Source organism: Homo sapiens, chromosome 8 (genome assembly GCF_000001405.40).
Source record: "Homo sapiens chromosome 8, GRCh38.p14 Primary Assembly".
Taxonomy (NCBI): domain Eukaryota; kingdom Metazoa; phylum Chordata; class Mammalia; order Primates; family Hominidae; genus Homo; species Homo sapiens.
The window spans coordinates 46,573,525-46,598,788 of record NC_000008.11 but is presented as its reverse complement, the minus strand read 5'-3'; the positions used below and the strand labels follow the sequence as shown (position 1 = coordinate 46,598,788).

At 39.5% G+C, this 25,264-nt stretch overlaps 1 pseudogene across 1 annotated transcript in view; it reads left to right on the top strand.

Annotated features, from left to right (window-relative positions):
- Positions 1 to 19,576, top strand: part of ASNSP1 (ASNS pseudogene 1) — a 38,393-nt pseudogene extending 18,817 nt beyond the window's left edge. The window contains exons 4-9 of the transcript NR_146077.2: positions 2,562 to 2,747; positions 3,009 to 3,102; positions 3,548 to 3,674; positions 5,158 to 5,325; positions 18,552 to 18,707; positions 19,238 to 19,576. The product of NR_146077.2 is annotated as an ASNS pseudogene 1 (transcript). The remainder of the gene's footprint in view (positions 1 to 2,561; positions 2,748 to 3,008; positions 3,103 to 3,547; positions 3,675 to 5,157; positions 5,326 to 18,551; positions 18,708 to 19,237) is intronic.
- The last annotated feature ends 5,688 nt before the right edge of the window (positions 19,577 to 25,264 follow it).

Below are 25,264 nucleotides of genomic sequence, written 5' to 3'. Positions count from 1 at the left end.
AGTTTACATTAGGGTTCACTCTATGTGTTTTATAGAATTTTGGATTTGACAAATGTATAATGTCATGTACCCACCATTAAAGTATTATGTAGAACAGTTTCATTGCCCTAAAAATCTCCTGTGCTCCACTGATTCATTCCTCTCCCTCTTCCTCCTAAACCCCCAGTCATTACTGATCTTTTTACTTTTCTAATTTTGCTTTTCCCAGAATGTCATATAATAGTTGTAGTCACATAGTATGGAGCCTTTTCAGACTGGCTTGTTTCACCTAGCAGTATACACTTAGGGTTCTTCTGTGTTTTTTCATGGCTTGATAGCTCATTTTTTAAATTGCTGAATGATATTCCATTTGTTGGCATGTACTGCAGTTTGTTTATCCATTCTTGAATTATCAATCCCTAATTGGGTTATTTTGTCTTTTTATTACTGAACTGTAATAGTTCCTTATGTATTCTAGGTACAAATCCCTTGTGTTCATCAGGGTTGCAGAATACAAAATCAATATACAAAAATCAGTGGTATTTGACACACTTTAACTGAGTACTACATACTTGCAATGAGCAATCTGAAAATGAAATTAAGAAAGCAACTTCATGGCCAGGTGCAGTGGCTCATGCCTGTAATCCCAGCACTTTGGGAGGCCGAGGAGGGTGGATCATGAGGTCAGGAGATCTAGACCTTCCTGGCTAACACGGTGAAACCCTGTCTCTACTAAAAATACAAAAAATTAGCCGGGTGTTGTGGCGGGCACCTGTAGTCCCAGCTACTCAGGAGGCTGAGGCAGGAGAATGGCATGAACCTGGGAGGCAGAGCTTGCAGTGAGCCGAGATCCTGCCACTGGACTCCAGCCTGGGCGACAGAGTGAGACTCCATCTCAAAAAAAAAAAAAAAGAAAAAAGAAAAAGAAAAAAGAAAGCAACTTCATTTATCATAGTATCAAAAAGAATAAAATACTTAGAAATCAATTTAAGAAGTATAAAACATGTACTCTGAAAACCATAAAACATTGTTGAAAGAAATGAAAGAAGATCTAAATAAATGGAAAAGTATCCCATGATCATGGACGAAGGCTGAACATTGTTAAGATGGCAGTCCTCCCTAAACTGATCTACAGATTTAACTTCATCCCTATCAGAATGCCAGATGAGTTTTTTGTAAAATCGACAAGCTGACTCTCAAATTCATATGGAATTGCAATGGACTAAGAATAGCCAAAATAATCTTTTGAAAATGAGGAACAAAGTAGGAGAACTCATACTTACGGCTTTAAAACTTACTACAAGACAATGGTAATAAGGACAGCATAATACTGGCAGGATAGATGTATAGACCAGTGGGATAGAATTCAGAGTCAGATATGAACTTATACATAAATAATCAACTGATTTTTGACAAGGGTGCCAAGATTATTTAGTGTATATATGTATATGTATATGAATATGTATATCATATATTTGTCAGTTGCCAGGACTGCTGGGCAAGCCTGGCAAAGAGAACACTGAGGAAAAGCAGCCACCTGCTCCCTGTACCTTCTCTGAGCCTGATGATCACTTGATATGGAACTATAATCACATCCAGTTTACCCTCTGAAATTCCTTGATTGTTCTTTTTTATATCCTTGACACTGTCCTTTTCCAGACCAAATGATCTTATCTGAAATACTGCAACAATTTTCCTTTCTCAGTGCTTTTAGAATAACCTGTCATAAACTCATCTGATTATAGTACTGCCTGCTTAAAACTTTTTAATTACTCCCCATTCCCTACCCGGCCTGTGTGGCTCACTTGAGCTCTGCTAGCTGGTGAGGGAATCTGGGTCCTTTTCCTGGTATTTGAATTCAGTGTTACACAGGTTACTGCCTGGGTTGACAATCTCAAATTGTAAATCACGAGTATTCCATGTAGGTAGTCTGTTACGATTTACAATAAAACATTGATGTTTGTATCAAAGATCATGGTGATGTGATGTTGGGTACTGTCTGTGAGAATTAATTGAGGAAATTTAAATTATATGGTTTTATTTACATATATGTATAACAACTAGTTAAGGGATAGATGTCTTCTCATCTGACTTTAAAGTAGCTAAGAATGGATCATTGTGATTGTTAAAGGTCTGGGAACCATGGCTATTTTCTGAAAATACCTCAGGGATGACAAATAAATGACTGCCAGCCTATCATAACATTAGGACTCCAGTTCATCCCTTTGCTTCATAAGTGTGTTTTTTCCTTTTGTGTATATTTGCTTTAGTATAGAAAATAGGTTTTCTTGATTAGAAATCTATCTAAGAAGAAATTGAACACTGGAGATTTTTCTATTGCTTTGAATTACTAAAAGTTAGTGTAATTTGGCAGTATATCCCTGTGTCATTATTTTCTCTTTGGTAAGTAGATAGTTGGGCTTTGGGTGATTAAAATTTTTTTCCCATTTTGCTTATTGAATGGACATGTGTTTGTCTTAAAAAAGGGAAAATAAATAGGAATGTAGAGGATGTTAACTAATCGTGAAAGTTATTGGGAAGGGTTACCTAATTTGAATAAATGTATCATTTTGAATTTGTAGGTCTTGTTACATTGAAGCACTTCAAGACTCCCTTTTTAAAAGTGGAGCCCTTTCTTCCTGGACACTATGAAGTTTTTGATTTAAAGCCAAATGACCAAGTTGCATCCGTGGTAATGGTTAAATATCATCACTGTCGGGATGAACCCCCACACGTGCTCTATTACAATGTGGAGAAACTCTTTCCAGGTAGCAGACACCCACCCACCCACCTATTCCCCATCCTTCTCTAAGGGAAAAAGTTATAAGCTGTACTTTCACATCAATTGAATGATTTTAGTTTCAAGACCTACTTCCTATTTTGTTTGGAGGGAATACATAAAGATTTGGCAGACTCCAGCATTGAGTAAATGCCATCATGATAGATGTTGATGATTGTGTATTTTATTTCAATAACTCATCCAGCCCAAGATTTTCTGGAGCTGTTTGATTTATTTGCCGTGTTTATAGGTTTTGAGACAGAAACTGTGAAGAACAAACTCCGGATCCTTTTTCATGATGCTATAAAGAGGCGTTTTATGATAGACAGGTTGCCTTTTATCAGGTGAAGTCAATTAAGAAACCTAATTATACTTCGTGCATGTTTAATTGAAATGATGTGCAGCCATCCCTTTGGTTTTTACTATAAAATATTTACTATATGATTTAATCTTTCCTTCATTATAGGATGGAAACAATTTTTTATAAGCTGCATTTAATAGTCATAGTAATACTCCAACTTGAGTTACACTATAGCTATATTATTGGTGTAAAAGTGAGCCAGTGAACATTCTTTAGAATTCTGTGTAGTGATTTTTAACCAATTCAAATACTACTATTATCACAGTTTATATACTTTTCTCTTCTTGAAGTTGATTTCAGTTTATAAAACTTGGGGATTTTAAATGGTAAAACTATTATCTTGGTGTTTATCAGGATTGTACATCCTCTGTCCCTGTCTTATGCAAGACACATAACTAGGACACTTCCACTTCCTCTTTTGCATGTAGAGGGCTTGGACTCCAGCTTGTTGCTGCTACCCTGTTGAAGCAGCTCAAAGAGGCCCAAGTACAGTATCCTCTCCAGACATTTGTAATTGGCATGGAAGACAGCCCTGATTTACTGGCTGCTAGAAAGGTAAGGTGTTGTCTCTTTCCCTTGTGTAGTTAGAGTAGGCTTGTTATTAGAATGAAAGTGGAGTCAATAATGGATGACTCTACTTCTGCTACTGTATTGACTGGGGCAGTTGTTTTAAATTAAATGTATTAAAATGGAAGGAAATGGCTGTTGAATATGCCCTGTGTTGTACATTGTCCTCTATGTACTTTTATCTATTATGACCCATACAATTCTCACAAAGACCCTATGATGATAATTATGCTCTTTTGAAAGTAAAGGTGTCTGAGCATGGTGACTACACCTGTAATCCCAGCACTTTAGGAGGCCAAGGGAGGTGGATTACTTGAGGTCAGGAGTTTGAAACCAGCATGAGCAATATAGTGAAACTCCATCTGTACAAAAAAATACAAAAATTAGCCAGGCTTGGTTGTGCATACCTGTAGTCTTGGGTTTGTGGGAGCCTGGATGACAGAGTGAGACCTTGTGAAAAAAAAAGAAAGAAGAAAGAAAGAAAGAAAGAGAGAGAGAGAGAGAGAAAGAAAGAAAGAAAGAAAGAAAGAAAGAAAGAAAGAAAGAAAGAAAAGAAAAGGCGTAAGTCAGGTGCAGTGGCACACACCTATAGTCCCAGATACTTGGGAGGCTGTAGTGGGAGGTCTGAGCTCAGGAGTTCAAGTCCAGCCTGGCAACATAGCAAGACCCCATCTTGAAAAATTCAAAAAAGAGGTTTTTCATGTGTTTATTTGTTTTTTGTTTTTTAAAAAATAACGTAAAGGCTTGGTATCGTGATGAAGACTGCAGGTTTTGGAGCCTGAATTGTGGTTTGAAAGCCTGGCTCTACTCATTTATGTAAAAAAAAAAATAGTGTCTTCTGTGGGGTAGTTTTAAGGTGAAATGGCATAATTCATGTAAAGTAAGTAGGGTAGAACTTAGTATGTAGTAAGTACTTAGTAAGTGTTAGCTGTTATTATTATTTTAAAAAGTGCTGTATTTAGAATACTGTGGGCAGAGGGCAGCTTGTCTGTATTCAGTGAGCAGGAAACCTTGTTCCCACTATGGAGAACTTTTGTAGCATGGATGAGAAAGAGCTAGAGAGCACTCTCAATGCAAGGTGAGCAATGCTTAGAGAATCCAAAATAGCCAAGGAAAGTAGAATAAGGGGAGGAGCCATTCTATGTAGCAATAACATCCTGGATATAAAATTAGGCATTGCCGAAGGACCAAAAAAGACCAAGCTTAGTGTGGGACCATGTTGGACTAGAGAGAGATGAGGTGGGTTAGGTAAAATAGGTGGGGAGGGAGGCGCCAACTGGGAGAATGGTTAAAGTCTTGGCACCAGAGGAGCTGAGGGGAGACTTACTTCCTGGTGGTGGAGTTGAAGCAGGGCCTGGATGGGGTTGTATGTAGTGGCCTGTAAAATCATTTTTCCCTTTTTTCCTTGTTTAATTTTCACCGTTGTTAATTCATAAAGCTTTGTGAACTCTTGTCATGTTTGATTTTCAAGGGAAGTTATTTTCTTTAACAAGTAAATGGGCATTTATATAATAAGGTGGCAAATCATATTGGAAGTGAACATCATGAAGTTCTCTTTAACTCTGAGGAAGGCTTTCAGGCTCTGGATGAAGTCATATTTTCCTTGGAAACTTACAACATTACAACAGCTGATGCTTCAGTAAGTAAGGTATTATGATTATTAAATAAACAGATTTTTTAATACTGAAAAAATGTAAGGTTTAAAAAAAATTTCAGGCGATAATTTAAAATATTTAGCTATTTAAAATAATAGTTATTTAAGGATGAATGCAAATTAAATCCCTATGTTACTGATTATTTAAGACCACTTAAGAATTCTCTGAATCTCTTTTGGAGTAAAGGGAACGATAAATATATAGTTCAACCTCCACATTTTTGGTATCACTGTTGGTGTTTTCCCAGGAAGTAGATACATATTTTCTGCCCTCTACCTCCCATTTCTCTTATAGTTTCTTGGGGTACAGTCTGTAGGAAATAGGTCTATTTGGTAATGCATTTTTGATAAGAAGTACTCATTTTAGATAAATTTTGGTAAATATTGCATCACACAACTTGCCAGTCATTAGCTATCCTTGCTCTGCAAACAATACTAATTTTATCTTATAGATAGTGTATCTACTGAGATTGGAAGTATACTCCAAATCAGACTGATCCAATGTTATTGAGCCTTTATATGCTACTGCCTCTCTCTCCAAGAAACTTGCCTTGGAGGGCAAAAATATCTTAGGTATTACAATGGTTTATGGCCCTCCAAAGCATCACAATAAATAAACGGATAGACAGGATAGTTCTGGTATTGGAATTTCATGGGGCTGGGGTGGGGTTAGGAAAATAAATGTCTAAAAAGTCTCTCTAGCTGTGGTGATGATACAAGCAAGGTTGAAAAGAAACACTGGTTTAGAGAGATGTGGTGCAGAACCAAGGAGTTAGGTTTAATAACTTATATAGTCTCCCCAACTTCATGTGAAGTCTGGTGAATGGGGAGTGACAGGGACAAGATACCTAACAAAATTAACACTAAACCACCAAAATGCTTATTCTTATTTTTGTGTTGTAATACCACCATAAAAGGCATGATTTTTAGGTATTTGAGTCATTGTTTAGCTCAGCAAAGTTTTGAGGTGGACATTCTTGGTCTAAAATATTAGAATTTTAAAACCTATTTATAAAATGACAGAATGGTTCTGGGTTATTTTATTTTACAGTAGTACTTTTGGATTAAGTACATATAAATTGCTTGTAAATATAAGGTCATTATTGTGGAAACTACTTTATATTAATATGAAGTCCAGTATAGTAGTAAAGTTTTCAATTATTTCCAAAAATCACATCAAGGGCATTTTTGGTGGAAGGTTATGTTGGCATTAAAGTTAATTTCTCTCTCTCATTTAAGGTATGTATTTAATTTCCAAGTATATTCGGAAGAACACAGATAGCGTGGTGATCTTTTCTGGAGAGGGATCAGATGAACTTATTCAGGGTTACATATATTTTCACAATGTAAGCACTCTGAAGTGGAAGGATATTCGTGCTATATTAAGAAAAGTATGAATTATTTGACTATTTTATATCATCTTTCAGTATGACAGTAATATTTTTGAGTCTCTTGTGAGGTTACAAAAGGGAATCTGATAGTGTTTGTTTTCTATCTCTTGGGGAAGAAAGAAATTTTAATAGCGTCAGATAATTTTTATTCTTTAAAAGTAGTCACTGCCGGGTATGGTGGCCCATGCTTATACTCACAGCTACTCAGGAGGCTGAGGTGGGAGGATCACCTGAACTCAGGAGGTCGAGGCTGCAGTGAGCTGTGATTGCACCACTGCACTGCTGCCTGGTTGATAGAGCAGACTCCGTCTCTACAAAAAGAAAAAAAAGTTAAAAATAAATAAATAAAACTAGTTAAGCTTAAGAATCACCTTTCTGCTGTTTCTTAGCCCCCTGTGGAATTATGACCATTGTCCAGTGTGTTCATTTTATTCTAATACTAGCAGTTTGGTGGGGAGGAAGGTATGTTTTGTAAAGCATTGCCTTCCTCTGTTCAGTTATTACTCCCTTCCGTAAATTTGTTTTGCTTTTTGTCTTATCCACCTTTAGGATTAGAGAGGGAGAAATAAAAACTGCTTTATGGGCCAAAAGCAAAACTCATGGTGCTTTTGTTTGTGAAATGGGCTCCTTCTGAAAAAGCCAAGGAGGAGAGTGAGAGGCTTCTGAGGGAACTCTATTTGTTTGATGTTCTCCATGCAGATCAAACTACTGCTGCCCACAGGTAACAGAAGCTATTGTAAAACAAAAACAAAAACAAACAAACAAAAAACACCAAAAAAAAAATAAAGCCCAATGCCCTGAAAAAAATAAAAAAAAAATAGCTAATTGGCTATATGTTACATAGAGTTGGCTATATGTTACCAAGTGAGACTTTTATAGAAAAAATGAAGCTGTTTCTTAACTTAGTCCCAAAAGAATTAGGCCACATTTCAAAGTGTTGTTGTGGTACATGTAGAGACGTCTTCTTCCACAGGTTGTTTGAGGTGGAATTTTCACCTTAAAGGGTAACAACATTCTACTCACATCTGAACAACCAAGAGGGAAGAGGGAAAGTTGTTACAGCATTGTTAAGTGTTTTAAAGAGAGGTAAAGATTGTAAACATTATGTGACAAGTATTGAGTGCCCACCATGCCTGTTTGGTGCTGTAGTGACCCTGAGGGGATAGGGTTGTGAACCTGCAAGGGGTTTGATTTCATTATAAAGAACTGGGTTTCTTTGGTATCATTTCTGGTTGTCTAAAGTTATGTTGAGGAACTGAAGACTTTTACTGTATAGGATAAACAGCTAACATTAAATGTTTTATTTCTCTCTGCTGAATCACACTTAGATTTGGATATAATTAAATATGGGTTTGGGGAATGAACTGAATTCGGTTATTATCTTATGCTTGTCTTAACTAGAGTCACTAGGCTTCAGGAAACTGGTTATATGGCATTTGATGAAATATAGCAGAATGCTGGTTTATATTGCATATTGGATGTGAATTATTAACCAGTGGTAAAAAAAATACTGTGTCGTCATCACAATTGTTAGAAGAGATGGTCTCACCTAGAAAACACTGAGTTAGAAAGGTCCAGTCAAGGTATTTACTTAATGATTAGGTCACTCATGATTTGTAACTTTTTCTGCTTTTTGAAATATTCATTTAACTATTCCTAGAAAGGAAAGTAAAAGTAATAGTCTCAGTTAGTTTTACTTCCTAGATGACATGATATATATATTATTTTAAATGAAGATTTTTTTGTATTCATTCATTAGTGTAGGGCAGTCATTAGGAGGCTTGTGACTTTATGACCTTAACATTTCTTAGGATCTGGTTGAATTGATGGGAAACTGAATCAGAACCTAAACTGTTGGGCACTAAACACCCATTTTAATTTAGATTTTCTTATTTTCTCCTTTAAGCCTTGAACTGAGAGTCCCATTTCTAGATCATCAGTTTTCTTCCTATTACTTGTATCTGTCAACAGAAATGAGAATTCCAAAGGTAGTAAATCAACTCAAGATAAAACTGTTATTGGGGGAACCAGCCCCCAATATTTCAACATAGGTTCTTTTCTATTTTCACTAAGTGTCAGCCAGTCTGAGAAATAAAGAGAAAGAGTACAAGAAAGAAATTTTACAACTGGGCCTCTGGGGGTGACATCGCATTTTGATAGGTTCTGTGATTCCCCCGAGCCGCAAAACCAGCAAGTTATTATTAGGGATTTCAAAAGGGGAGACGGGTGGGAACAGGGAGTAAGTCACAAAGATCACATGCTTTATTTATTTATTTATTTATCTGAGACAGAGTCTCACTCTGTTGCCCAGGCTGGAGTGTAGTGGCATGATCTCAGCTCATTGCAAGCTCTGCCTCCTGGGTTGATGCCATTCTCCTGCCTCAGCCTCCCCAGTAGCTGGGACTACAGGCACCCGCCACCTCGCCTGGCTAATTTTTTTGTATTTTCAGTAGAGACAGGGTTTCATCATTTTAGCCAGGATGCTCTCGATCTCCTGACCTCATGATCCACCCACCTCAGCCTCCCAAAGTGCTAGGATTACAGGCATGAGCCACCGTGCCCAGCCAATCACATGCTTTAAAGGGCCATAAACATCACAAAGCAAGGGCAAAAATTAGAATTACTGATGGAGGTCCATGTCCTGCTGGGCACACATTGTCTTGATAAACATTTTAACAGGAAACAGGGTTCAAGAGCAGAGAACCAGTCTGACTAGAATTCACCAGGCTGGAATTTCCCAATCCTAGCAAGCCTGAGGGCACTGCAGGAGACCAGGGCATATTTCATCCCTACTCTCAACCGCATAAGACAGACACTCCCAGAGCAGTCATCTATAGGCCTAACCCTGGAATGCATTCTTTCCCCAGGGTTATTCCTTGCTGGGAAAAGAATTCAGCAATATTTCTCCTATTCCCCTTCTGCAAAAAAAAAAAAAATATGACTCTGTTCTGCCCAGCCCTGCAGGCAGTCAGACCTTATGGTTATCTTTCCTTGTTCCCTGAAAATCGCTGTTATTCTGTTCTTTTTCAGGTTGCCCTGATTTCATATTTTTCAAACACACATGTTTTACAATCAGATTTCATGTAAGACAGGCTTAAGAAATTATAAAAGTATTAATTGGGGAAGTGATAAATGTCCATGAAATCTTCACGATTTATCTTCTTCTGCCACGTCTTCAGTCGGTCCCTCCGTTCAGGGTCCCTGACTTCCCACAACATCTCTCCCTTTCTTTTTATATAAATGTGCCATGGCAATGAAGGCTTGTTAATTCTCTCAATTTTGATGCAGGATTCTTTGACTGGTCCAGCATACTAAATACAAACCAATTAAACAGATAAACATAATTCCAAAATTTACTACAGTGGAGCCCCCAATAGACTTAATCCAAGTCATGGGGTTTAATCCAGAAAGATTTTCTGCCACCTGATCTAACGCCTCAGCTCCAGGCACAATGGATAAATGAGCTTGACAGGCTTCAAAAATTTGATTCTCTAATTTAGTATAATTATAAATTATCTTCCCTACCCAGAAGGTGTCCTTTGGCCATTTCCCGTGAATTATCAGTCTCATTGTAGGAATATGGCATGATACAGAAATCAGAAGTGTTCCAATCGCGCTGCATTTGCATGCGATGTTTGAGACTCACTACCCGATCTCCAAGCCAAATAACAGACTGTCTTAAAACGTTAATGTGATTAGCCAATTTTTGATCAATGCCTTGTTGAGAATTCCTCATTTGGGTGGAATTGGCTTGCCAATCATTAACAAAATGAGCCATTTGAATAGATTGATGTAACACCATTCCAGCAGTGATGGCCATTGCAGTGACTGTAATTAGGCCCATGATCACAGCCATTAAAGTGAAAACAAATCTCTTAGATCTTTTTAGAATTCACTGTAACACTTCATTAATCAAATGTATTGAGGAGGAGGATTCCCAAGGCCTGGGCAAAGTTACTGGAATCCAGATTCCTTCTTGAGCTCGAACCAACATTACACTTTTCCTGGAGTCAAAACGGGAGTTAATACAAGTGTATAAATGACAATTAATTTATTGGATTGATTGTTCGTCCAAATTTTGATATTTCCCACTAACAGCATGTAAGGTGGCTTAACACAACTCTGTATGGGAATAGTCAGATTGGAGGGAAGCAAAGCAGAATGTCTGAATCTATGTTGATACTGAGCGAGGGTCATGGTGGTGGGGACAGCAGACAGAAAAGTTTCACCTTCCTATACTCACAGTCCAGACATGGCAATAGCCAATTTCCAAAGTTCTGGGTTTTCTGGGCTCAGAATGGGGAATATCATATGAGGCCTCAGGGGGTAATGCCTTTATCTTCCCATTTTAAGAGAAAGAATGAACTGAACCTCTTGTGCAAAGTAGAAGGATGATTCTCGTTCTCCGTATAAGAAATAAAATAAGTAGCCTCAGGCATTCCCTTCTGCCAGAGGAGCAATTGTTTTTAAATAGCCCTTTGGTGCCCAGTCTGTTACTAAACCATATGAGTCATTTTTTAATATTACTGCATGTGAGTTAACACAGTCATCCCAAATTAAAGTTTTAGATGGGCCCTCAAAATTTTTAGGGCATGGTTTTCCTGCAGGTTTATATTGAAAGTATGGGGTATCTCCCATTACTTCCCCTTTCATTTGTCTTAAAGGAGAAAGGGAGAGGCCAGAGACCAAATGTCCTGGTTCCTCTGTAGCTGAATTTTCTGGAAGATAAGCAGCCCAGACTTGAATTTCTAGATAGATACAACCAGGTGCATATCCGAGGCACAGAGGGGGGTATTTATAACTCATAGTAACATTAAATGCAGTGCCTTCTTCTCCTGGTTGAGCGGGGCAATGGTCTTCTGTAGCTCCAGGCATCCACACACTATCATTAGTATAGATTTCTGCAGGAGCATCCATCCAGGTGAGAGTTCGAATAAGTGGAGGAAAAGGCACATAAGCCCAGTAAGAATAATTTTGTGTAGCAGGTAAGTCAGTGTGAGAGGAAACTGGTGAGACAGAAGGTGTAAGGAGGAGAATCATTAAATAAAACCTATTGTAAGAGAGATCCAGTGCTGAAGGAGGAAGAGAAGAACAGAGGGATGTTATTTTCAGGCTAATAGAAATGGTGAGATTTTTAGGTTTGTAAGGGGAAAAAGAAAGGTAATTAGGAGAAGTGGGATTAGTTACAGGGGTCTTCATTGCCATTAGGGAGGATTGAACCAGACCCATTTTGATTTGGTGTGCCAGCTTCTGGGGAGTTGGCACAGTTCTCACCATGTCTGAGGGCAGTCTCTGACATGGACATCTTTTCCCTGTGGTTTTCATTGTCAGTATTTACACGAAGTTTAAGTCTTGTAGTGGGCACCCGGACAGGGGATTGATGATCTCCTGGTGAAACACAAGCATATCCTCTTTCCCACGTTAAGCAGAATCGGAGACAATATTTAAAGGTTTGGGGAAATCCTGTAAGGCAGTAATTACAGAAATTAACTCTGCCTTTTGAGTAGAAGTATAAGGGGTAGAAATGAGCTTGTCTGTAGGACCCACATAACCAGCATTTCCGTTACTGTAGCCATCAGTGAACACTGTAACGGCCTCAGGAATGGGCTGATCTTTGCTCAATCAAGGGACCACCCAAGAAGTCATTTTTATAAAATCAAACAGTTTGTTTTTTGGATAATGATTGTCCATAATGCTGATAAAATCAGCCAAGTGAATTTGCCACAGTATGTAACGTTGAAAAGTGGCTTGAATTTTGAGCCAATTTAAAGGAACTACAATTAAATTCGGATCAAATCCAGAAATTTTAAGTATTCTACACCAAGCTTGTCCAATTAGGATGTCAATTTGGTCCAGATAAACAGACAAAGTTTTTGACACAGAATGAGGAAGAAAACATCACTCCATTAAATCATTATGTTGAACTATTAGCCCAGTAGGGGAGTGCAATGAAGCAAAAACCAAAAGCTGAAAAGGCTGAGATGGCTGTACTCTAGATAACTGGGCAGTCTGGATTCTTTCTTCCACAAATTACAGTTCTAGTGAAACCTCAGGGGTCAAAGTCCTGGGACTGTGGAGATTGGAATCTCCCCACAGCATAGAAAACAAGTTAGCGCATAGGTTGGAATGCTGAAAGTAGATCGTAAGTAATTAATGTCACCCAAAAGTTTTTGGAAGTCATTTAAAGTTTTTAAAGAATCTCTCCTAATCTGAACTTTTTGTGGTTGAGTATATTGTTTATCGACCACCATTCCTAAATATTGAACAGGAGCAGTCTGTTGTATTTTATCCTGAGCAATGTATAATCCAGCCTCTGTGACACAGTGGCTCAAAATTTGATAACAGTCAATTAATTCTTTATCAGTGGGGGCAGCAATGAAAATATCATCAATATAATGAAGAATATAGGCATGGGGAAATTGAGCTCGAACTGGTGAAAGCACTTGTCCAACATAAAGCTGGCAGATTGTAGGGCTATTTAGCATTCCCTGAGGAAGCACTTTCCATTGATAGTGAGCTGCAGGCTCCTGATTATTGATAGATGGTACAGTAAAAGCAAATTTTTCACAATCTGATTTATATAAAGCAATATGAAAAAAAATCTTTAAGATCAATAACTATGAAAGGCCAATTTTTAGGTATTAAAGCAGGGGCAGGCATGCTGGATTGGACGGCTCCCGTAGGTTTAATTACAGCGTTAATGGCCCTTAAATCGGTTACCATCCACCACTTGCCTGATTTCTTTTTTACTAGAAACACAGGAGAATTTCAGGGGGAAAGAGAAGGTTCCACATTTCCAAGTTGTAACTGTTTAGAAACCAATTGAGTCAAAGCCTCCAGTTTTTCTTTAGAGAGCAATGGCTGCTCAATCCAAACAGATATGTCAGATTTCCATTGTAAAGGGATAGGATCAGGAGGCATGACAGTGGCCACCATTAAAAAGGATAACCTAAACCAGCCCTGTCTTCTTTTACAGTAACTGGGAGGGGTTCAGTAATCCCTTCATGTTTTGGGCCAAGACTGAGTCTGGGGACAAACCCCATGTTTTCCATCATATGTTGACTGGGAGCAGTATAGGAGTTATGTGGAATATTAATTTCAGCCCCCAATGTGCTAGCAAATCTCTACCCCAAAGATTAATGGGGATTGGTGTGATACAAGGCTGAATTGTACCCTTTTGACCACCTGGGCCAGTGCAAGCCAAGATAAATGTGCTCTGGTAAACTTCATCAGTTTTTCCAACACCTACTAGTCCTATGTTAGTGGGATGTTTAAGCCAGGAAGAAGGCCATAAATTAGAGGAAATAATAGAAACATCAGCCCTAGTATCTACTAGGCCCTCAAACATTTTTCCTTGCATGTGTATGATGCAGGTGGGCCATTGTTTAGAAATTACATTAATCCAATAAGCAGCTTTTTCACCACCGGAGCCCATCCCAGGGCCACGTGTCTCATCTCCTTTGTTTAAAATGATATTAGATAGTAAAAGCAATTGAGCAATTGACTCACTGGCCAGAATGGAAACAAGGAACCTTGGCAGACATGATAAGTTTAATGTTGTCAAAGGAATTAGAATTAATGAGACCAGTATGAATGGTGATTCCTTTAGCAGAGTTGGATGCCCTACCTAACACCAGGCTCACCAAACCTTGAGGTAGAAGGCCAGTGACCCCTGTGGGGACAATTAAAGGCAAAGAATTAGGTAGTAAATTTAGAGGAATAGTACTACAGAGATCGACCGCCCTGCCCCCTATTGTGGAGGTGGGCAAGCATTGTACTGAGGCAGAAGAAGAGGCTGGGACCCATCTGGGTTGGCTGTAGGTAAATTTGTTTGTGCTGGGGGCTGCGTTTTGACTGCCTGAAGTGGAAACACAACGTTGGTCTGAGTCTGAAGCATCCCATTTGATATTGGGGCCTGGGACTGGCCCCACTTCCCGTTTCTCTGGTTCTGTGGCAGGGGGTTTACATCTATATCATACTTAGAGCAGCAAGTACTTGCCCAATGTTTACCTTTGCAACAACATGGGCAAACAGTAGCAGCAGTATTTGGCTGTGTTTGTTGAGCCGGCTTGTCTGCTTTTAAGTTTTTAACAGTGCGATTTTTTTTTATTATGACCAAGTTGACCGCAATTATAGCAGGCTCCAAGAAAAGAATCAGTCGAGCCAGTCTGATTGCTGTCTTTCATGGCCCGTGCCCACAGAATAGTTTTGTGGGTCTCTGATCCAATGCCTTCACAAGCTTTAATATATGCAGGCAACATCTTGTGATCAGGTAAATTTTGTTGTTGGATGGAACACATGGCCATTTTACACTCATGGTTCGCATTCTCAAAAGCTAACATACGAAGGAGAATACCTTGAGTGCACTCATCAGAGGTAGATTTTTCCACAGCATCTTGTAATTTAGCTAAAAAATCAGGGTATAATTCAGTGTGACCTTGTTTAACAGTAGTAAAAGAAACAGGAGCTTGGCCTGGGGCACATAATTTATCCCAAGCTCTCATACACACCTTGGTTACTTGTTACATGGTAAGAGCATCAAAGCCTAATTGGGCATAAGTATCAGACAAACTATCAGAGCCTGTGAGCTGAGCCTGAGTAATTAGAATGCCATTAGTCCGGGCCAGGCATGGCGGCTCATGCCTATAATCCCAGCACTTTGGGAGGCTGAGACGGGCGGATCACCAGGTTGCGAGATGGAGACCATCCTGGCTAACACGGTGTAACCCTGTCTCTACTAAAAATACAAGAAAAATCATCCGGTCATGTTAGCAGGCACCTATAGTCCCAGCTACTCAGGAGGCTGAGGCAGGAGAATGGCGTGAACCCAGGAGATGGAGCTTGCAGTGAGCCGAGATCACACCACTGCACTCCAGCCTGGGCAACGGAGGGAGACTCCGCCTCAGAAAAAAAAAAAAAAAATGCCATTAGTCTGATTTAGCTGAGCCTGCAGACAGGCCTGCTCTGACCACCAGGTACAGAATTGTAAATGCTGAGCTGGGGTTAGAACAGCTTTTGCCAAAAGGTCCCAGTCTAAAGGAAGCAAAATGACCTCAGTACAAAAAGTTTGTAATACCATTTTAACGTAAGGAGAAGTAGGACCATGCTGAGTACAAGCATCCTTAAAGTGTTTTACAAAGGTAACATTGAGAGGTACATAACCCATTTGTACCCCTTGGATGTTAGGAGGTTCTAGCGGGACCGGATAAGCCCATGCATCTAATCCACTTATTTCTTTGTTTTGGCATACTAAGCGTTGCATTGAAGTTTCAAGAGTAGGCATCTGAGATGGAGTTGGCATAGAAGTGACAGGAAAAGCATGTGTAGATAAAGGAAACTGAAGGTGAGGGGGTTGGACTGGAATGAGAGAGTGAGAAAGGGGCATTGGGGGAGCAGAAAGAGCAGAAGTATACTGGTGATTACTGGCATCCATGTGTGAAGAAGGGTACAGAGAAGCAGGCTGAGTGGATGGCAAAGTGACTGGTTGAGGAACCGAAATGACAGGAGGGTGGGGGGCTGCAGTGGATGGGGTAGGGCCTGCAGAATTATAGGTAAATTGCAGTTTGGTCCCCGAGCCATTAGCTGACTCTGGAGGCAAATGCTGCAAAGGTTTGAAAAGGGAAGAATTAGCATATATATGGTCCTGGGCTGACTGAGTCAGGGCTGCGAGAGCTACAGGTACCAGCTCTTTGTGAAAAGAAATAAGATCATCAGGGGATGACATTAAGCAAGAGTCACCAGAGTTAGATATTGAATTCTCAGAATCGTTAGGTGGGGGAGGAGTAGGCGAAGGGAGAGGCTGATCAGATAATGAAGGCCGTGTGGGAAAGGAAGGTTGAGGAAGAGGTGGAGGGTCGTCAGATTCAGAAAACTGTGGTAACTGCAGGGGGTAAAGGGATTGGTATGTCATTAGGACAGCACATACCAAGGCCCAATCACCCCAAACAGTGATGGGAACAAAATTCCCTGTCAAGACCAATTCCCGGAATGTTGCACCACACGATCCCATAGTTCTACATGTAAAGTTCCTTTTTTAGGAAACCAAGGACAGCATTTTTCCACTGCCCTGAATAGAGTGACCATATTTTCCACAGGCATTTGAACCGTTCCCTGTTTTAACAGGTCTACATCTAAGGTTACTTTTTCAGGAACCAAGGACAGTGTTTTCCCACTGCCCTGAATAGAGTGACCATATTTTCCATGGGCACTCGAACCCTTTTCTGTTTTAACTGGAATTTAATACGGAAGAGATAAGTATAATGTTTAGACTCTGCGTGACCCAAAGTTAACCCGGATAAATTCACAGACTACTCACCAATTGTCAGGGAGTCGAACACGCGTTTCTGTGGACCAAACCGATGAATGTTTCTCTGCACCTACCAAAGGGAATCAGGTTCCCACATGCACTTAGGAAAAAGAAAAACCATGCTGGGTGCCAGATATCGGGGGAACCAGCCCCCAATATTTCAACGTAGGTTCTTTTCTATTTTCCCTAAGTGTCAGCCAGTCTGAGAAATAAAGAGAAAGAGTACAAGAAAGAAATTTTACAGCTGGGCCACTGGGGGTGACATCACATTTCAGTAGGTTCTGTGATGCCCCCTCAGCCACAAAACCAGCAAGTTTTTATTAGGAACTTCAAAAGGGGAAGGGGGTATGAACAGGGAGTAAGTAACAAAGATCACATGCTTTATTTATTTATTTATTTATTTATTTTTTGAGATGGAGTCTCACTCTGTTGCCCAGGCTGGAGTGCAATGGCGTGATATCGGCTCACTGCAAGCTCTGCTTCCTGGGTTCACCCCATTCTCCTGCCTCAATCTCCCCAGTAGCTGGGACTACAGGTGCCCGCGACCTTGCCTGGCTAATTTTTTGTATTTTTAGTAGAGATGCAGTTTCTTCATGTTAGCTAGGATGGTCTTGATCTCCCGACCTTGTGATCCACCCACCTCAGCCTCCTAAAGTGCTAGGATTACAGGCGTGAGCCACCGCACCCAGCCAATCACATGCTTTAAAGGGCCATAAAGATCACAAGGGAAGGGCGAAATTAGAATTATTGATGAAGGTCCATGTCCCACTGGGCACACATTGTCTTGATAAACATTTTAACAGGAAACAGGGTTCAAGAGCAGAGAACCAGTCTGACTAGAATTCACCAGGCTGGATTTCCCAATCCCAGCAAGCCTGAGGGCACTGCAGGAGAACAGGGCTTATTTCATCCCTTCTCTCAACCGCATAAGACAGACTCTCCCAGAGTGGTCATCTATAGGCCTAACCCTGGGAATGCATTCTTTCCCCAGGGTTATTCCTTACTGGGAAATAATTCAGTGATATTTCTCCTATTCGCTTTCTGCAAGAAGAAAAATATGACTCTGTTTTGCCCAGCCCCGCAGGCAGTCAGACCTTATGGTTATCTTTCCTCATTCTCTGAAAATCGCTGTTATTCTGTTCTTTTTCAGGGTGCCCTGATTTCATATTGTTCAAACACACATGTTTTACAATCAGATTTCATGTTGTTCAAACACACATGCTTTACAAACAATTTGTACAATTAACACAATCATCACAGGGTCCTGAGGTGACATACATCCTCAGCTTATGAAGATGACAGGATTAAGAGATTAAAGTAAGACAGGCTTAAGAAATTATAAAAGTATTAATTGAGGAAGTGATAAATGTCCATGAAATCTTCACAATTTATGTTCTTCTGCCAGGGCTTCAGCGGGTCCCTCTGTTCGTGGTCCCTGGCTTCCCGCAACAAACTGTCCACTGCCATCAGATTATATTTGTAACTTTTACTGATGCTCCTTTTTTTCATGTTAGAATGAGATAGAAAAACATCTCCTGAGAGAGACATTTGAGGACTCCAATCTGATACTCAAAGAGATTCTCTGGTGACCAAAAGAAGTCTTCAGTGATGGAATAACTTCAGTTAAGAATTCCTGGTTTAAGATTTTACAGAAATATGTTGAACATCAGGTATATTGTCTTTAAAAACATTTTCAGGAATAGGACACTTTGGATGCAGAGCTGTCATTGCTGTTCATTTTGTATTTAGTTTGAATGCTTTGTCCCTTTAAGAGAGATTCATAGTCTCTGGAAACAATTATCTCTTTTATAAGAATTATATAAGAATTAAGTAGCATGAAGGATTATAAAGTACCATCTGGAATTGAAAGAGAGAGGAGACTTACTACTAATCATCACTGACCTTCATTTAACACATTTTTGGGCACCTTCTGGGTGCCAGATCTTGTTAGGCACAAATTACTGAAACAGAGCCACCAAGAATTAAAAATATGCATATGAATGTTTCTTAAAAGTCACTGCAGCTATGCATATTATGAATACTTTAACATTTTCTAAGTGATGGGTGATTCAAAGGGTCTCATACAATTTACAGTCATATCTTATCTTTACGTTTTCTGTTCTGTGAAACTAGAGTAAATACAAGTATTTCCATGCCATTTTAAAGAAACTGTTCTGCTCTTATATTTTTATTCTTACAGGTTGATGATGCAATGATGGCAAATGCAGCCCAGAAATTTCCCTTCAATACTCCTAAAACCAAAGGATACTACTACCATCAAATCCTTGAACACCATTTCCCAGGCCAGGCTGACTGGCTGAGCCATTACTGGGTGCCCAAGTGGATCGATGCCACTGACCCTTCTGCCCACACACTGACCCACTACAAGTCAGCTGCCAAAGCTTAGGTGCTCTTTATGCTGTAATATGAAAGCAAATATTTCTTCTTATTGTATGGGGACTATGGGTAGATAGGGGAACAATGAAAGTCAACTCAGGCTAACTTGAATGTGAAAAAAATAAAAGTCCTAAATCTAAAACATTGCTATAGTCATTTATGTTCATACAGTCTCCTCATAAGAGGTAACTAGAAATTTTTTGCTGTATCACAGTGAAGCAAAGGGTAATCTAGGAGAAGGGAAAATGCTCTGATGTCTACAAGAACTCACAGCACTCTCCTGGCAGAGCTGCTTTAGATGACATTTGCGTCGTGTGCCCACATGGCTTCCTTCCAGTCCTTGCCTCATCTTAGGGAAGTCATCAAAGGACTACACTATTTTTGTTCTGCCTGCATTCCTAACAGCTGCCTAGGCAGACTTGAGACTTGAGTCTTGTATAGGAGTTCATGACAGCTCTATTTAGCAAGATAATAGTTCATTTTTTTCTTTTATGTTGAGCCAAAGTCACTTCTGGAGACTTGTCCTAGAGCAGGGGTCAGGCTTTTCTTTTAATAAAGAGCCAGATAGTAAACATTTTAGGCTTTGTGGACCTCTTTTGGAACTGTTCAGCTCTGCCCTTATAGTGCAAAAGCAGTTACATAGACAATGTGTAAAGAAATGAGCATGGCCATGTTCTATTAAAAGTTACTTATAGAAGCAGATGGCGGGCCACATACGATCCATGGGCCATAGTTTCTTGATCTCTGTTGTAGAGGGACAACCAAGCTAACTAAGCATTTCTGGTAAAAGTCTAAACCTACTTGAAAGAGAGCGTAGTAACACATTCAAAGAACAGGTAGAAGATTTTCATTTGAATGGTAATTTGTTGTTTAGGGTGAACTTAGCTCTTAAAAACTTTTGAAAAGGGAACTGCTGGTGTACAGATAAATAAAATTGGAAGAAGAATGTATTTTTTGCTAGCTGTAGGCCTTTACAATTTAAGAATATCTCTAAGAAACTGAGGAAATGTCATTAGTATTAGATGATTTTGGTTTGCTTGTTTGTTTATTTTGTTTTAGATAGACTTGCTCTGTTACCCAGGCTGGCGTGCAGTGGCACTATCTTTGCTCACTGTAACCTCCACCTTCTGGGTTCAAGCAATTCTTGTACCGCAGACTAGCAAATAGTTGGGATTACAGGCAGGTGCCACTGTGCCTGGCCAATTTTTGTATATTAAGTAGAGATGGTGTTTTGCCATGTTGGTCAGGCTGGTCTCAAACTCCTGGCCCCAAGTGATCCACCCACCTTGTCTTCCCAAAGTGCTGGGATTACAGATGTTACCCACTGCACCCAGCCCTAGTAGATGACTTTTAATGATTATCTTGTGTTTGCAGTTGCTTAAATTGCCTAAACCTAGAATGATTTGATTCTAGGCACATTTATTCCTGGTAGAGCCTCAGACAGCCATGGTAAATGACATCGAAAATACTTGGGAAATTTGGTTGATAATGATTACACAGTGTATACGACAAGATTAAGGTATAACATGAACCCCAAACTGCCAGTTTTCCAGGGAGTGGGGTTTGGCTCTACATTTTTAACTTTAGTGACTGAGATCTGGCATATTTAGTTACCACCCAGAAGTTTCATAGTAAAGATACTTAGTTAAGGCTATTTCATAGCAGCAAACTACAGGTCAAGTATAATGGCAGCAACTTCCTGGATTTCAAGCCACACACAAGATTTACACAGGTTTTTGGCACAAAGAATAAAGATAGCTTTTTCTCTTCTTTTGCAATTTAAATTGTAGAAGTTTCAAAGAAATGGTGGCCCTTGGGTTGTTGTATACATGACTTAATAGCTCACTTACTGGCCAAGGCTGTTTTCCTGGATATTGGTAATTTAGTGCCAAGGAGACACTAATCTACACAGCATCTCTAACAACCAATAGTCCAGTCCTTTTAAGCAAAATTAAAAGATTATTAGGTGATGTCATTCTGCCATTTCAGTCTGATGTGAGAACTATTGTGAATGACCTGCCCTTTGGAGGTTCATTTCACTTTCTCTTAAAATCTGCTAAAAGGTACCATATAGTTTGACAAAATGATACACTTCTATTTAAAAAAAAAAATGAAAAGTAAAATCCACCAAAATGTACTTTTAAAATTTTAACATTTTCTTGAAGATCTCTTCCTATAAAGGGACAATTGTATATGTGTGAGTAGATTATTTTGGTTAACATAAGGCCAGAAATCTTAAGTCCTTTACAAGGAAAATATAAAAAGGAGTGAATCCTAAGCCTATCATAGCCCAGCCTCCAAATGATTATACTTTGTGGGAAATTAGCTTGAATTAGACTGTGATATGACCATCTTGAGGCCACAGAGTCAGAGCATGCTCCTGAATGCCTCCTGTCTTGGAATTGCCTTAGTTTGGTCTAGAATCAGTGATAAAGGATCCTTGGAGTAGGTCCCTAGGAAGGGAAAGTCTGGCTATGAGGAAGCAGAGTGGAAGCTGCGCAGGGAGGCAGTTACATGTGGTTCTAGACTGTGCAGTGGAAAAAACAATACCAAGCAAGTACTTAGCAGCTTTTCTAAGAACTTTTATTGTCTTAGCTCATTCCAATCTTAGGAAGTGTGGCAGATTTTCTTTTCTAAAAGTAGCCATAGCAGTGTTCCTGGTGCCATGAACTTTTCCAGAGCCTGGCTAGCCCTATGAAGAAGCAGCCTATTTCCTCTCTCCTTGAGCCTGGTCAGAATTTTGCAATTGCCTTCTAGTAGAATACAGTGGAAGTGATGCTATGTGACTTCTGAAATTGGGTCACAAAAGGTGATCTGGCTTCTGCTTTCTCTCTTTTGATGTACATTATAAAAATGCCCAGACTACATGGAGAGGCTGTATGTGAGTTTGGGCTGACTGCCCTAGCAAAGGGCTCAGTCGACAGTCAACAATAGCCACTAACAACTGCCAGCTGTGTCAGGTGCCAGCTGTCAGGAGTGAGCCTCCAGATGACTCCAGCTGCCAATTTTGAGTCTTCTACTGGGAGCCCACGCATGGGAAGGAGAGATGAGCCATCCCTGCTGTGTGCTCTGTCAAAGTTCTTCATTCACAAACAAAAGCTTGTTTGACAACATTAAGTTTTGTAGTTTCTTACACAGGCATAGTAACTGGAACAGGTAAACACTGTTACCACCATTTTACACATATTAAATACGTCGCTCAGTCACTTGGCTAATGAGTAAGTGGTGGAACCTCAAATTATCCAGGTAGGTTGACTGCAGAGCCTTTGAGCTGTTCTTTTCTAAATATTGTCTTGCAATATCAGCCTGAAACTATAGCCTGGGTCTCTGGTGTGAATCAGGAGACTAAGGGAAAAGGCTTTTATTGGGAGCAAGAACAGGGAGTTCAGGGAATCTCCCAGGGACTGCAGTGAGGCTAATCATTTTCTGTAATGGCATAGGCTAGGTGAACTGAGGAAACAATCCCCAAATTTCAGTGCATTACCACAAAAGGGTTTTTTGTTTGGTTGTTTGTTTTTGTTTTTTTGGTTTTTTTTTTTTTGCTCAAACTGTATGTCCACCTTGGCCTAAATGGGGGCTCTGCACATTGTTGAAGGAGTTTTACATACTCTGGAACCCAGGCTGATGGAGGCACAACCTTGACATAATTCCACCATCAGCAAGGCAGGGGATGGAGAAAGTGGTGAATTATTTACTGAAACTAAAACTTCCACTCTGAAGTGACACATCACTTTTGTTCACATTAGATATAAGTCATGTGGCCACACCTAACTTCAAGGGAGCATGTACAAGAAAGGAAAATAAAATATTTGAAGAACAGCACTAGTGACTCCCCAAATCTGCTCTTCAGTAACAAAATATTGAATTCACTCTCCTATGCAAGAAATATATTCACCCCTTTTTGAGGGTTACAACTGGGGAATTCCATTGTGCAAGGACACCAAGCCCAGAGTTTAGGACCTTTGGGTCATGTCCTTATGTGCAAGTCTATTTCAGGGCTGGAGACGGCACTTCATAAACTAAGAAAAAATTAATCTGCTCCCCATCTGTCCAATATATAATTCAGCAGGAATAGAATAACTGCGACAACAAAACATATTTAAAAAGAATAAAACAGAAGAAATATGGGAAACCCTACTCAGGAGCAATTTTGACATCCTGAAGTCAGTCATTTGAGGGCTTCCAACTCCAGCAGAAAATTGCCCTTCAGGGGTCACCAGCAGCCATGACATCAGTGTTTTGGGAGAAGGAGGCAGATTGAAAGAAATGGGGGAATCAGTGTCTGATCACAGGTGAGAAATGGAACAGTTTGAAGGGGAAGGGCTGATTTCTAGCAATAAAGCCAATTTGGCTCATACCACTATAATTTTGGTTATACAGAGTAAGTGTTAACATTAATTGGATACCCTTCCTGAGTGCCAAGGACTGCTCTAAAAGCTATAATCAGTCTTCACAACAGCTTCTGAAGTTTGTTCCTTTGAGCTCATCCATGTTTTGTGGATGAGGAAAGCAGCATACAGTGGTGTTACGTTGCATGCCTGAGATTACATAGCTAACACATAATAGAAGTGGGATATTGGATCCCAGGTTCAGGGTTTTTGGCGCCTTATGCTTAACCCCTACTCTGTGTTACCTTTCAAAGGGATAGACTATAGAATATAATTATGTACATTGAAAAAATACAACTCCTTATTTTTTTTTCTTGTTAATGGGAGTATGTGGTCTATTTTATGGGTAGCTCATAAGTTATTTAACACAACTATAAATTTAAGCATAAGATACTATTTTAATTTTTTAAAGTTGTCATGAGCATGTATATGTATGCATCAGTGGTGCAATTTAGCTCTTCTGTGACTTAGCTGTGATTTTGATCTCTGTGAGTTTTTACCTGATTTCAGGCCCCACTTAGTCAATAACTGATACCAATAAATTAATTCATAGTCCTCTTTGCAACTGGTGAATTTTTAATAATACTAGGAAGAAAGCCATACCTAGAAATTGCCAGTATATTTTAGAAATTGGTTGTGGCTATATAAAACGTTTATTTAATATCTGAGGGCTACAATATAAAACAAAACCACAGAGTGGCAGCCACAACACGTTTTTCTCTGGAGGCAATTTTATGCCTTTTTTGAAAGGTAGTGGTGTGGGGAAAATATTTTATGCTAAATTGAAGAGATGACATCTTTATTTCATAAAATGATCCAAGCACAGAAGTTCTATAATTTGCTATAGGTACTTGGTGAGCAGTTTTAACTTGTAGATATCATATGACTGTTGTACAGGCCACTATGAAGTTGTATATGTATTGTTTTTGTGAACCTTTTGTCTCCCTCTTCTTTGATCCACTAGCCTAAAGATACCTGCACAATGTGTATTCTTACATAAGTGAGATCCGGAAGGTAAGGAAAGATGTGAACAACCTCAAATCTGCTATTTGCTTTTTGAATGTAGCAAAAATCTACATAAACTCATTTTCATAATCACCCACTCTACTGACCCTGACTTGTCACAGTTTATGCAAATGTAGCTAAAAAACAGAATGCATATTTGAGCACTTAGTTTACACATAATATCAGCTAAAGTGTGCTGATGACTTACTGTGCACCTAACACTGGTGTAAGACCATACTCAGTCTCTATGACAATTCTGAGAGGAACCCACTGTTGGTACCATCCCCATTTTATGGTTGAAGAAACAATGTACAAGTAGCCCAAACATTAAACAACAAGATGGTCAATTTGTGGCCAATGAAATCGTCTATTATAATGGATAGCACAGAAAATAGTTCTATATTACAAGGCAATTTTCATATGTAGATAGATGACTC